Below are 13,493 nucleotides of genomic sequence, written 5' to 3' on the forward strand. Positions count from 1 at the left end.
CAGGTAACAAGTAATTTAGCTCCAATCAAGCTTTCACCCCGGCATTAATATTGTTATTGCAAGAAAATGGAAAATTGAAAAAATTCAATATGTTAATGAATTAAGAGAGGTTCAAGGGCTAGACAAGACGAGTTGGAAAAAGGAAACAAAAATTATTGTGGTATCATATTTGGTGCCATCCTGGAGGCCAAACATCAGTATAATTACTTTAAGACAAGAAGGGGAACTGGAGTGCCTTAGATCTCAGAGCAGGGAAAAATGTGACATGAGCTTTCAAAAAATCCACCTAACTCCAATTTCTGAAGAATATAAGGAGAAATATGAGAGTGTATATATATAATGTAGCATTTCACTGGCTTTCTTTTTCTACCTGAAATATTTCATATGAAGCAGAAGCATGAGTATCAAAGAAACGTTTCCATCTGTTTAAGAAAATTGTATCAGCACCTGCTTCCTTTACATTAAGTCTCATAATGAAACTATTTTAATAATCCTTTTTTTTTTAATCTGGGGTGAAGGTAAAGCTGAAAGTCATCTTTGCTCTCCAGCTGTCCACCTTTTGGAAGTGGACTAGAGGATACAGTGTTATCTTCATACGTAAAACTTCCTGATCAAGCCAATTTGCAATTTTAGTATTTGTCCAGCAAGACAATGTGCCATCATGGTGACAGCAGTAAAAGAATTTGAAAATCTCTAATTAGGAGAGCTGCACACCAATTAACGCATGTCAAATTTCACTTCATCAAGTGCCACTCTAATTTTCCCTCTAAAAATTAATGGATTTTTTTTCTTTTGGTATGTGTGTGTGTCCCCTTAAGGCAATGTTGATTCAAATCTGCTCGAGATGCAGTGTTGCACAGCTAAGCATCTTCTTGATTACAATCCGCCACACTTCTAACTGCGCTCATTCGCACTGCCACGGATACTTTGTCAACAGTCAAATTACACCACGCTGATAACAATGCATAATGGTGTTCCTCCTCCAGTCCCCTGTCAGGAGAGGGGCTTCATAAAAATGTGATGTTTTCTTCTCAACTGTATCTAAAGGAAGTTTGTATGACCAGGTCCCCAGTCAGGTGTTGATTTTTAAAATTAGTTTGTTAATTTCAAAAAAAAAAAAAAAAAGAAGAAGAAGAAGAAGAAGCAAACTGATGGCATATAAAAAGTCCTCATTGAAAAAAAAATCAGCAAAGAATGAGGAATGGAGAATATCTATGGCCAAAGTTTTGCTTAAACACTTTGTTCTGAGACATTTTCAAGAGCACTATTCTTGGTTAAATACCAGATTTTTTTTTTCTTTACTTATGGTCTATAAACATTGGAAGCCTCTCTTGAACAGACTGTATTTAGATTGTGCTAGAAGTTTGTTTAACTGCCATATTTGCCAGAATCCTCAAAACATCACAGGACATAGAAGACAAATGACTTTGTGTGTTGCGGGGAGGGGGGTGGGGGGGAGTGCGTAAGGGGGTCAGGACTGTATATTCCAGATAAATGTTGATTCACTTTTAACTATTTTTTATCCTAGTTGCTTGTTGCAGATTGGTGTGTCTGAGGCATCAGCACGCGTGGTAATATTTCTCACTGAAAAATGAAAGAAAGAAATGTAGTGATTAGAAGATGATTTTACATTTAGTCTTTTTAGAGATTATTTAGATTTCTTATTTTTCAAAAACAATCAGAACCAGAACAAAAACAAGGAAATTAAACAAAATTTTAAATATATTCTCTCATAGATTCTTCAGGGAGTAGAGAACATTCACACGGGTTGACATCCCAGTTTTCTCAGCATGTAAGCATATTGTAATCCTATTTATTCACTAAAAATTTAAATTCATGAGATCTACACTTTATTTTCTTTAATCTGCAGGCCGAATACAGCTTCTTATTCACTGATGACTAACTCAAAATTTTAAAACGATATTTTTAGGTTTGTATTTCCGAATATTAAAAGTGTCTTCCTTATCTTATGGCCCCACCCCAGCATGTTCTTAAGTGGTCTATTTCAAACAAAAGAAAATGACATCCCCCTTTCAACTAGCCAAACATTAGATTCTCTCAGAACTGATTGGGGGTTCACTAGAAGTTTTGCAATTAGATTCATACAAATTGAATTATTTTCTTTTTTTCCAAACATCGTTCTTAGAACTTTATAAATATAGCAATACTGGCTTCACAGTTTCATGTGGCTCGTTTACAAATAAAGGTATTTTAATAAAACCAAGTTCTGTGTACCTTTGAAAAACAAAAAGCTGGAACAATCTCACATTAAAACATTACAAAAGGATTGTAAAGGGAAATTTAAAGGGAGAAAACTTGATCATATAATGCAATCCAGCAGTAATCAATTTTACCTTCAATATCTTGCTTTTGTTTTCAAAATGCTAAATAAACAATACATAATGCATCCCTCATCAGCCAAACCATGGAGGCTCTGTGCTCAAATAACAGGAAACATATTCAATTTTCCTAACAGAAGACAGTTCATTAAGCTGTGCCACATCAAATAAAACTTTAATTTCTCCAGCATCAGAGTCGCAATGAAAGCAATTGAAGAAGATGAGCCATATGGTACTTCTATCAGCAAACACATATTGCTCATTCCCCCAAAGTTTTCTAATTCTGCTCCCCAGACCTGTGTAATATAGATAATGTGCTCCGAGAGCAGCAACCATGAGCTATCTAGTGTACACTTCCAATACTGTATTTAATGGGAAATAATGAATCATAAAAGCCTAGAGAAGACGGCTTTTGCTAACCTAAATCTCAGCTGTAATTTCATTGTTCTGTGCCTAAGATGCTGTTTGCCCTTTCCAAACAACAGCAGTTGAACATAATTATGCTGCTTCGAAGCTGGGTTTGAAAAAGCATCCCTAATATAACCAACTTTCTATTAACTCCTGAAATTCTGAATTTAATGATGCACTGATACAGGCATTGAGATAACCAAGCATGTGTCATTTAAAAATCCAAACAGCATTTTTCTCCTTCTTCTCTTTGGTCAGACTGCTCAATGCTTTTACGCTTCCTCCTCCGCCCCCTGCTTGCGTCCATCCCCCACCCCACACCCCACCCCATGCAACAGGAGTGGCATGATTAAAAATGATGAGATTTTCTTGTTATTAGCAAATTTGACATTTGCCTGATGAAATGCACATAAAATGTGAAAGCTACACAGTACTCAGAAGAATGTCTCCACTCCAATCCTAGCTACCAAGATGAAATAATTTAGGTAAAGGAAATGTAAAGGTCCTTGTACATCTCTTGCTGCAGAATGCTAGGGTTGCGTTATAAATGAAAGAACCAAATATTGCTGAGCTTTTAGAGTGATAGTATTTTGACACATGTGAAGCACATAGTGTTTCTTCTCTCACCTTAGCTGCTTTGACAATTTACTTAAACATAATACACATGCTCAAAAGCAGCAATTTACATGTCGTGAGCCCAGCCTTTCTCTGGTTTGAGATCTTGGGGCTGGGGCTTTGTTCATTTTTAGGAAAAAATGTTGCTTTTTCCTCTAACTAGGTCAATAATTCCAGCTTTTCCATTTTTAAAGCTTATCAAATCATTATTTTACCAACATGATGCTAATTTAGAACATCATCAGATAACACCGTGGATACATATTGAAAACATATTTTAATGGTTTTGTTTGTTTTGGCATCATATGAACCAAGAACAATTAAATTAAAAAGAGACTTTTAAAAGTTAGAGATTGCCTTTTTAAAGCTTATTAAAATCAGCATGTTAACATGCCTGTCTCTGAATTAGCTCTCACACTTGATTGCCATCATTAAAACGAGTTGTTCGGGTGCTGCTCAAAGCCGATTCTTACTAGTTATTAACTTGAAATCTCTTTCCATTGAAATGTAAAAAAAAAAAAAAAAATCATTCTCACTAGTGGAAGAAACAGTCACCAAAACATGAACTAGCACAGCAAGCCAGCAACATTAAACCACGAAAAGACCAACAGGTAAAATAACTACAGTAACATCTAAAACACACTCAGGGAAAAAAAAAAATCACAACAACAACAAAGAAGCAGTTCATTGATTATATTTCATGAATGCCTTAAAACAAATGTTTAAACAGTTTTCTGAAACAGTGCAGAAAACCTCTGCATGCTCCACTGGGTTGCAATGACAATGGTCTATTGCAATGTAAAACACGCTGGAGGATAAAAAGGTGCTTTTTGTTACCATTTTATCAAAGCTGTTCATCTTCGAGCTGCAGGCAGCATTTTGCTGGAATTGCAGATATTTCTCTGTCCAGGCTTCTTTGTTTGTGCATCTCATTTGCATATATTTATCTCCAGCTGAGGGTGCGTTCTGCTCATTAAGGCCTCCCTTCACATTATTTCATAAGCCAGCTGCTGAGAGGGATTTCACCTGTGGTGACTGAGAAAAGAGGGGTGAAAAACTAAATTCTTCATAAAAAGGAAATCTTCAGAGTCTCTTCCCCTATAAATGGGCACCATTTGTGTTAAACAGCCTCTTGTCATGATAGATGCCTCCAGAGGTCAGGGGTTAAAGTTGATTTGAAGGTCAGCAGTAAAACAACAGACAAACCAGACGCCAAACTGGTTCCTTAGCTGTCGGTGGGAGCTGTGGTACAACCAGGTCTTGAACCTTTTTCAACCTCTAATAAAACAGGGGATGAATCTGAAGTGGATCAACCAGGCCCCTGAGGAAGCAGCACAGAAAAACACAAATAATATCAATATCAGGCAGCCACAGGGAAACAATGGGGCATTTCTCCGTGCTACATGCATGCTGCTATTGTTTCAAGGGCTGGGGAATTAATTCCACTTATTTATTTAAGGCGTGTCAACTCACTGCCTAAACCTGTTTCAGTGTCAAGATGGATAAAACTTTTATGGCTCATAAAATAGAGCCATTCATCTCAATGTTCTTTGTGGTGGGTTTTCTTTTCTTTTCTTTTCTTTTCTTTTTTCTTTTTTTTTTTTCTGGCATACTGAGCTAGACCTCTGCTCTGAAACGGTTACATCTGAACCCATTGCTGCTATGATCCACACCATTTAAAAAAAAAAAAATTATTTCACTGGCAAATGGATCTCAACAGAAATGACACAGGGAAGCATTTTAGCTACGATGTAATAGCTCCAAAAATTCTTCTAAACAGTCTGCATGCAGTTGCATCTGTTTTGAGCATGCATTATTTACAAAGCAGAAGTTTTACTATTTTAGAGGAAAAGTTCAAAAGAGATAGCAGTAAAGATATTAGTTTTCTAGAATACTATGTCACATATTTCATTTTACTTTAGAAATGCAACCTTGTTAGGATAGCTCTTTCCCATTCATCATTTTTTGCCCAAGTTTCCACTGTTCCGTAGTCAGCTTATACTGATGTAATAATCAAATGCCTTCTTTAACTTGACTGCTCAGAATTTTATGTTTAATTTTCTGCATAAAATAGCACACATAAATGGAAAAGAAAATGCATTTATATGCTTTTTGTATTATACATTTTTTAAAAGTTCAGTTATAGAATTAATTTTACTTTTGATTTTCTGACAAATGACTTTAATAATAATATAAATAAACAGGTTAACATTTCTAAAGTGCCACACACAATGTGAAGCACATGTATTTTCTCATGCAATTATTAATTCAATCTAAGTCACACAGGTCCACTTAGAATGGACTGTAATAACACTCTTTATTATCCACAACATATTTTAGTTGAAACAAAATGTTCCAGTCACACAATATCATCACCGTAGTAGATCATTATAGCTTTAACAGATGACATCATGGGAACACAGTTGCTTTATATTGAAATGAGTAAAAAGAAGCAATTTGATGATATTTCACAAATTTTCTAATCACAGCCTCAGCCATGTATATTACACGTTTTTGCTCCATTGTAATGTAAATTGATTTGTGGAGGATTCACTTACTGTCTTATCCTAGTTGCTTTGTTTTTGAGTTCTCTATTGAATATTGTAGACTTTACATATGATGCTAGATTATTTCTGATGTAGTCAGTTGGTAGGTAAGGGTTTTCCCACATGAACTCAAGTTTTTCCAGTAAGTAGATCATTTGAGAATGGCTCCAAATAAAAGTGGTGCTTTCACATTTTGCTGGTACACAAACATATGGCCCTGAGGAAGACGGATTCATTTTGGGGTGCTAAGCACTGCTCAAGATGTAAGTGCTTTTTATTTCCCATTTGAACTGGTGCATGCACCTTACAGATGGACCAGTTGCTTTACATACTGGTGGCCCATTTACAAAGCAGCCCTGTTTGAAAACAGATGCTTTCAAGTGGGTCACCAGGCTCTAAGAAAAATATTTAAACCCTTAATTATTGGCTTTTGGTCGTCTATGGCAATGTGTTCTCATTTAAACATAGAGCAGGGGATTTTTCTTCTATAACCAATTACAGTTTAAAAAATGCAACGAATCTTGCTTCACACAAGGAGCTTAACTTGTGGTTGGAGAAATTTTCCAACTTATTAAATGTTGTTTATATCCTCATTTTTGTCTTCCCAAAGCATTTTATAACTCCCTCTGTAACTGACTTATCAATTTTCTTTCTGACCTTTCATATTAAATTTAACCACACCCCCACCCCCAAACCCAGAGCCTCCAAGCAACTAGCCTAGAGCAAAAATATACAATTTACTCTCTCCATATCTCCACCGACGTCTTTCGTTTTTCTTGTACTCTAATCTAATCGGTAATTCGTAAGCTTTGGCCAAATAGTTAAAAATGTTAAGTGCTAGCAAAGCCTTTTACCTCCCCCTCAGATCTGTCTCTGTTTATGGAATGGGTCCCAGTTTCCTCCTCTTCTCCTTCAGCCTGGGGTCTTCAGGTCAGAACACAGTAAATACACACAGCCCTTGCTGGACCCATAAATCTGAGCAAAGGGCAGGCCTATATATTCAGATAAGCAGGGGCAGAGATAGGGGCTTGAAAGGAGGGAGAACTAGCGGAGTCTGAGGCTCTGCAGCCCTGTTCAGAGAACTGAACTCAAAAGACCAAGAATCCTTAGTGCAGAAGGAGGAATTTTGCCTTGAAACATCTCCCCTTATTTCTAATGGATGAGATTGGCACTGCTTCCTCTTCGTTTATTTTATTTTTTCCACGTTGCTTATATTCACATCCTTACCAAATGTATTATCTTAAAGGCAATCAAGTTAAACAATAAATTTAATTTATTTCCAATGTCTTTTTTTCTTAAGTGTGTTTGTGTTTTGACCTGTGTGTGTGTGTGTATATCAGTGATATGAACTGAAGTCATTTTACTAGAAAGTCTTCTCTACTGTAATTTTTCAGTCCCAAAGTTTTTGACTGTATAACTGTATTCTTACTGACCACATTGAATCCCCAAGAAAAATACCTCTAAAGGAGGAATGACAAAGTGACAAATAAATGCTTACATATCCTTCAGTCTTCCAGGCTTCTATTTTATTCCTGGGTTCAAATATTTTCTGTTGGATTTTCACTTCTTGAAATTTTCAGTGACTCCTGGAAGACCACCCTTCTTGGGGGATGTACCCATTGTGACCACAGATAATGTCACCATGGAAAATCCTGGGCAAGATGACCATGGCTGAGAAGGTCCTTTCTATCACACTTGACAGAATCACTGCCTGATTCTTCTTTAGATGCAATGAGTCACACCACAGATTCGTCTGGGTCATTTCAGACTCCAGGAAAATGTGTCACTCGATTTGTTTCCGAGCAATGTTTTGTATTTTATTGTATACATGTATATCTAATTGTAATCTGATTTCTCTAGGTTATTCTTTTTGGCTAATAGAGAATAGATTTTTAAAAAATGCTAATTCATGTTCCTCAAAAGGGGCTTCTTTTTTTCTTTTCCTCGGTTGAAAAGTTAGTGATAATTCCAGGTAATTAAGAACATTTTATGGAAAAAAATTGCCAAGAAAGTAATTGGGCTGGGAGCCCAGTGTGTTACACCTACACTAGAGCCTCATTTTTGACAAATCTCTGAAATGATAACAATAATGATAATAATCATTATGTATCGTTTATCAAGCACTTACTTTTGGTAAGCAATGTACTAGGAACTTAAGATATATATTAATTTTTGTCTTTACAAGTGGTAAGTGATGTACTACTCTATAGTCTCAATCTTATAAATGAAAAAAACCCTCCGATTTGAAAAGTAAAGAAACTTAATCCAGAACACACATGGAAGCCCAGAATTTGAAAGTGGTTTTGGCTGCAGAGGGCTGTCTTCTGAGCTGCCTCTCCATAGCCTCAGGTTCTGCATCTTCAGGATGAGTGTCTTGGGTGGGAGGGTGTCTATGTAGTGGTGATCTTCCATGGCCAGTTGATTTTCTCCCGCCCCTACTCTCCTGAGCCTAGCCTTGGCATTTTCAATAGCTCTCTGGCATCTGGGCCTGTCTCTCAAAGACCTTCTGGACCACATGTCTGAAACGGAACTCACTGATTCTCTAGCTGCCATGTCTCTACTCTGTGATCCATGTGATGTTTAATGGGAGGGAGTACCCTCGATTCTGTAGTCCGAACTTAAGGCTCTCTAACTACCTACCTTTTTTCACCTGTCATGATTATTATCCAACCTGGCAGAGAAGTGACCTGTGCAGGAGGCATTACAGTCTGACCACCTGGGTTTGAACCCTGACTTCCCTGTTTACCAGCTGTGCAGTGCTGGACAAGTTACTTTACTCCTCTGCGCCTTGATTTTTTTTCATCTGTAAAATGGAGTCTAAAATATTATTTATTTTATAAGGTTGTCTAGTTCAGATTGTTGGTAATGTTTGACAGAACTATTAAAATAGCCTTCAGGCTGCTGTTTCTGCAGTGAGGCTCCTCCTTCCATAATCCAGCCCCTCTGGATTACAGAATAAAATAAATAATAAACATGATAATTTCCTGCTTAAAAATCTTTAAGACTCCCTATTGCCCTCAGGTCGAACTATTGAATCAGGAAAAGGCTTTCATTATTTTCCTCCAACTGCCCTTTCCAGAGTCATTTTCCACCATGACCCTCTAAGCAATTTCCACTCTAGCAGCAAAAAATTATACATATGATGTTCTTTTATTTCTCCAGACTTTTGACTGTGCTGTGCTCTCTCTATCAGGAATGCCCTTCCTTTCAATTTCCATGTAGCAAAAGTACATTTATCTTGCATGGCTCAGTTCAAAAGACACTTTTTTTTTAAAGGCAGCATAAATTGAGACAGTCACTTCTAGAATGCATTCCTCTGTTTTAGAACCTAGTATGTTGATAACAATCATATGCATGGTAATTATTTGTCTACCACTAGGCTGTGGACTGCTGTGGGGAGGGACTATGTTTTTTTAAACTTAATATCTTTTGTTCTAGGGCCTCACATGTAGTGGGAGCCTCCCAAATTTAGATTAATATATAAAATATCTTTCCTCACTCCTAAAAATGACTTAGAGCAAATGTGAATCAAATGACTGTAATGTTGTTAACTAGTTGAATTAACTCCTGTTAGCTTAAGATAATAAAGGCAGTGAACTTGTAACAAAATTAAATTAAAAACTGAAGTGCAATTATAGTGTTCTTACTGTCTCCAAGATAAAACCATGATACATTTTTTTCCTAGCACACGTTACATTTTTTCTGACATCATAAGAAAATCTGAGAACAGAAATCCTTTCAAGCATTTCGTTTGATAGAGAACATCTATATTCCATACAGCATTCCATTAGGAAAGGAGCCTGCTTTTCTCTTATCTGTCCTTACTCTAAACGTAATATCTTATGGGAGACAGTATATTAGCGGTTAAGATCATAAGCTCTGGATCTGGAATGTCTGGGTTTAAATGCTGGTGCTGCCATTTATAAGATGTGTAATGGCTGGAAACAGTTTTCTTGGGACCTGCTATCTCATCTGTAAAATGGGTACCATAGTAACATTCAGTGTAGTGAGTGGTTATGAGGATCAAATGAGTTAATGCATCTAGCACTTAGATGAGAGTTCATGTATCTTGCACTTAGATGAGAGCCTGGCTTATACTAGGTGCTCTAAAAATGTGTCTTCTTATTTGGTTGGTGTTTATAAGAGAGGCACCTGAAATCCTGATAGAAAGGTGAGGAGGATTTCATCATCAGGGAACAGTGGAAAGAGATGGAGAAGTCTTGAGAGCTTGTGAGAATGTCCATTCACCTGTGCAAGGACCAGTTTATCTATTTCAGATATAATTCCAACACTTCCATGATTCAGTGCTTCATTTCATCATTTTACACATGGAATTACGTGTAGGAACGAACCCAAGTGTAAACTTAGCCATCAGGAAAGTTAGCTCCAGAACTATCTTGCCTGAGTTTGAATCCCAGCTCCATGACATGCTGGCTGTCTCACCCTGGGCAAGTGTTTTCATTTATTAAAGATTAAATTTTTTCATCTGGCAAATGAGGAAAAAAAGAGTAATTTTTGCCTTTTACCTGTGGTGAGAATTAAATGAAAAACCATCACTCAACATGCTTATCACAGTGCCTGTCGTATAGTAAGTGCTTAATGTGTTGACTACTATTTTCATGTTGCAAATATTATTGAATATTTTTACCACATGGTGTGGTTTTTTCAAGTAGTTATTGAAGAGAGTAAAAACATTTATTTATGTAGACTTAAAAATGTAAGGTGAGCACCTCTATACTCACCATCCCAGGTTATAAAATGAAAGGTTGCCACTTTCTTAGAAGTCTCTGCAGGCCTTTCTGGGCACATTCCCATCTCTCTCTCCAGCGCGTTACTGTTCTCCTGGCCTTTGAATCATCGTATACTTGCTTTACTTTATAATTTTAGTTCTTATAAATGTACCACTAAACAGTATGTTATTTGGTTTTGTCTTTTATGAATATTATAGTAATGTAATTGATATATATTTTATATTCTGTGTTTTGCACTCAGCAGATGCAGCTGGATTGATGCATGCACTGTAGTTCATTCAGTGTCATGCTGAATAGTATTTTATGATATCAACATCCTACAATTTACTTTGCTATTATTTTTTCTATTGATGGACATCTGGACTGTTATTTATTTATTGCTATCACAAAGCCTGCTATATAGAACATTCTTGTACATGTGCCCCTATAGGAGACTTTCTATATATACACCCCGGTGTCTATATAAAGACTTTCTTTAGGAAGTTAGACCTAGGAGTGGAGTTACTCACTTGTAAGATGTGGGAATATTCAAATTTACTTGGTAATGGTAAACTCTTTTCTAAGTGGCAGCACATGAAGGAGTTTTCAGCAGAAGATTATTAGGTACATATTTCAGATCCTCATAAAAATTATATATGTGGTAGTTAGTCTCCAAGATTCCACAGTTTCAACATAAAATCCAAATCATCCACTTCTCTTGGTGTTCATACCCTTGTGTGGTCCCCTCCCACATTATGCCAAGGCTGGTCTGTGTGACCAGTATAATTCAGGAAGAGTGATGGTATTGTTGCTTCTGTTTTGGACATCTTTCTTCTTGTCTCTTTTGCATCTCTCACTCTGGGGGACACAGCTTCCCTGTTGGAAGCAATTCTATGGAGAGGCCCATGAGGTGAGGAGCAGAGGCCTCCAGCAAACAGCCAGTGAGGAGCTGTGGCATGCCACCAGCCATGTGACTGAGCATAGGAGCCAATTTCTAGCTCCTTGGATCTTGAGATGACTGCAATTTGAGAGCTTGACTATAATCTCATGAAAGATCCTGAACCAGAATTGCCCTGCTAAGCTGCACCTGGTCATGAGTCCCCCCCGCCCCCCCCCCCCACACACAAATGTGAGATTATAAGTATTTGTTGTCTTGAGCTAAGCTTTGAGGTAATTTTTTATGCAGCAAAGATAACTAATACATATTCTATTAAAAAGGTGAAAAATTCCAAGTTCCCTTAAGGAATATGTGAAATAAAGCAGGATATTAAAACAAATAGATTTGAAAATGGATAACATTAAAAGTTGATGCACCTGTAATTCTAGGTGCTATTAAGTTAGTTAGCCATGTAAAAAAAAACCCATAGAGATGGGAGACCAAGGATAATTTGTGATTCATAACCTGTAACAACGCATGTCAAGCGTGTTCACGTTTTTTTAGTTGATCTTGATTTATCATTATTAGAGTCCTTTAGATGTCTTTATAAGTTATTCTTGATGCAAAAACATTCATTATAACATAATAGCAAAAAAGAAGCCATTTAGTTATACAGAAATAAGAGAAAAGTTAAATATGTCATATATCTACTAAAGAGAATATTATAAAGTCATGACAAATATATACATATTTTTTAAGTGACATATTCCAAGCATAATGTTAAGTGACAACAGCGGGATATGCTATACAAACAGTATAAAACCAACTATTCAGTGACTTAAGGGTGAAAATGGCATCTCTTAGTTGTGAGATTATGTGGGAATTTGTTTTCTTCATTAAACTTCTGGACTTTCAAAGTCTAATAAACATACGTTAAGACTACTATTGTTAGAAAAAAGTGTATTTAGCATTGAAGAAATTACTTTTAATTCATTTTTAGTAATACAAAGAAATGCGGACAGCAAACTTTGCCTTCAGATTGGGCAGAAAATCCCTATCAAATATATATCAACAATGAGCATCTGGAAAGGTTCCGGTTGCTATTTCGAGTTGGCTTCCTTTCAAATTATCTTGATCTTTGGATCTAATCATAGTCCTCTATCTTGTTATAATTGCTGGTCCTTTTGATTTCTCTTACAGAAGTGAAGATATATTCTAAGAAGTGTATCCTTAGATGATTTCGTGGTTGTGTAAACATTATAGCATGTATTTACACCAACCTAAATATTATAGTATAGCCTACTACACACCTAGGCTGTGGTGGTCTAGCCTTTTGCTTCTAGGCTACAAACCCATACAGTATGTTACTATTCTGAATACTGTAGGCAATTGGAACACAATGGTAAGAATTTGTATATTTAAACATAAATGTATAAGAATTGGTACATCCAAACATGCAAAAGGAAATATTTTATGATAATATCTTATTATGGCTTCAATGTCACTAGGCCATAGAGAGGAATTTTTCAGCTCTATTATACTCTTATGGGACCACCATCATATACGTAATCCACTGTTGGTGGAAATGTCATTGGAAGGCATGACTTTTTTATTCATCGTTTTGTGGACTTCAGAGCTATTGGAGAATCAGAGGGTAAATTCACAGAATACTCTAAATTTAAATGTGACTAAAGTTTATATTCTTCAGTTTCTGCTCATGAAGTTGAGAAGAATAAGATAAATGCGATTTCACGGAGGCATTGTGGAGGCAAGGGTTGCCTAATACCTTTTTATATCAGAAAGGATTTTTATCTAAGGCAGCCAATGCTGGCATAATTGAAGAAGGAATTTAAGTTGAATAGGAGCTGGAGTCATTGCCTGCACAGTGACACTTCATGGCATAATAAGTATAGAAATTTTTGATATTAGTTTAAAAAGAAAAATTCTCAAAACTTAGTGTTTGAATAGACTGAAAGTG

General features: G+C 36.4%; 1 long non-coding RNA gene across 2 annotated transcripts; it reads right to left on the reverse strand.

Moving 5' to 3' along the window:
* Positions 1–1,318: 1,318 nt before the first annotated feature.
* LINC01797 (long intergenic non-protein coding RNA 1797) lies at positions 1,319–7,516 on the reverse strand. 2 transcript variants are annotated; one of them, NR_110265.1, is made up of 3 exons: positions 7,407–7,516; positions 4,200–4,397; positions 1,319–1,584 (listed from the first exon to the last, which is right to left on the reverse strand). It is a non-coding gene; the product is annotated as a long intergenic non-protein coding RNA 1797 (long non-coding RNA). The 2 variants fall into 2 exon arrangements; NR_110264.1 differs by having other exon boundaries at positions 4,200–4,683.
* Between the last annotated feature and the right edge of the window lie 5,977 nt (positions 7,517–13,493).

Source organism: Homo sapiens, chromosome 2, assembly GCF_000001405.40.
Source record: "Homo sapiens chromosome 2, GRCh38.p14 Primary Assembly".
Classification (NCBI taxonomy): Eukaryota; Metazoa; Chordata; class Mammalia; order Primates; family Hominidae; genus Homo; species Homo sapiens.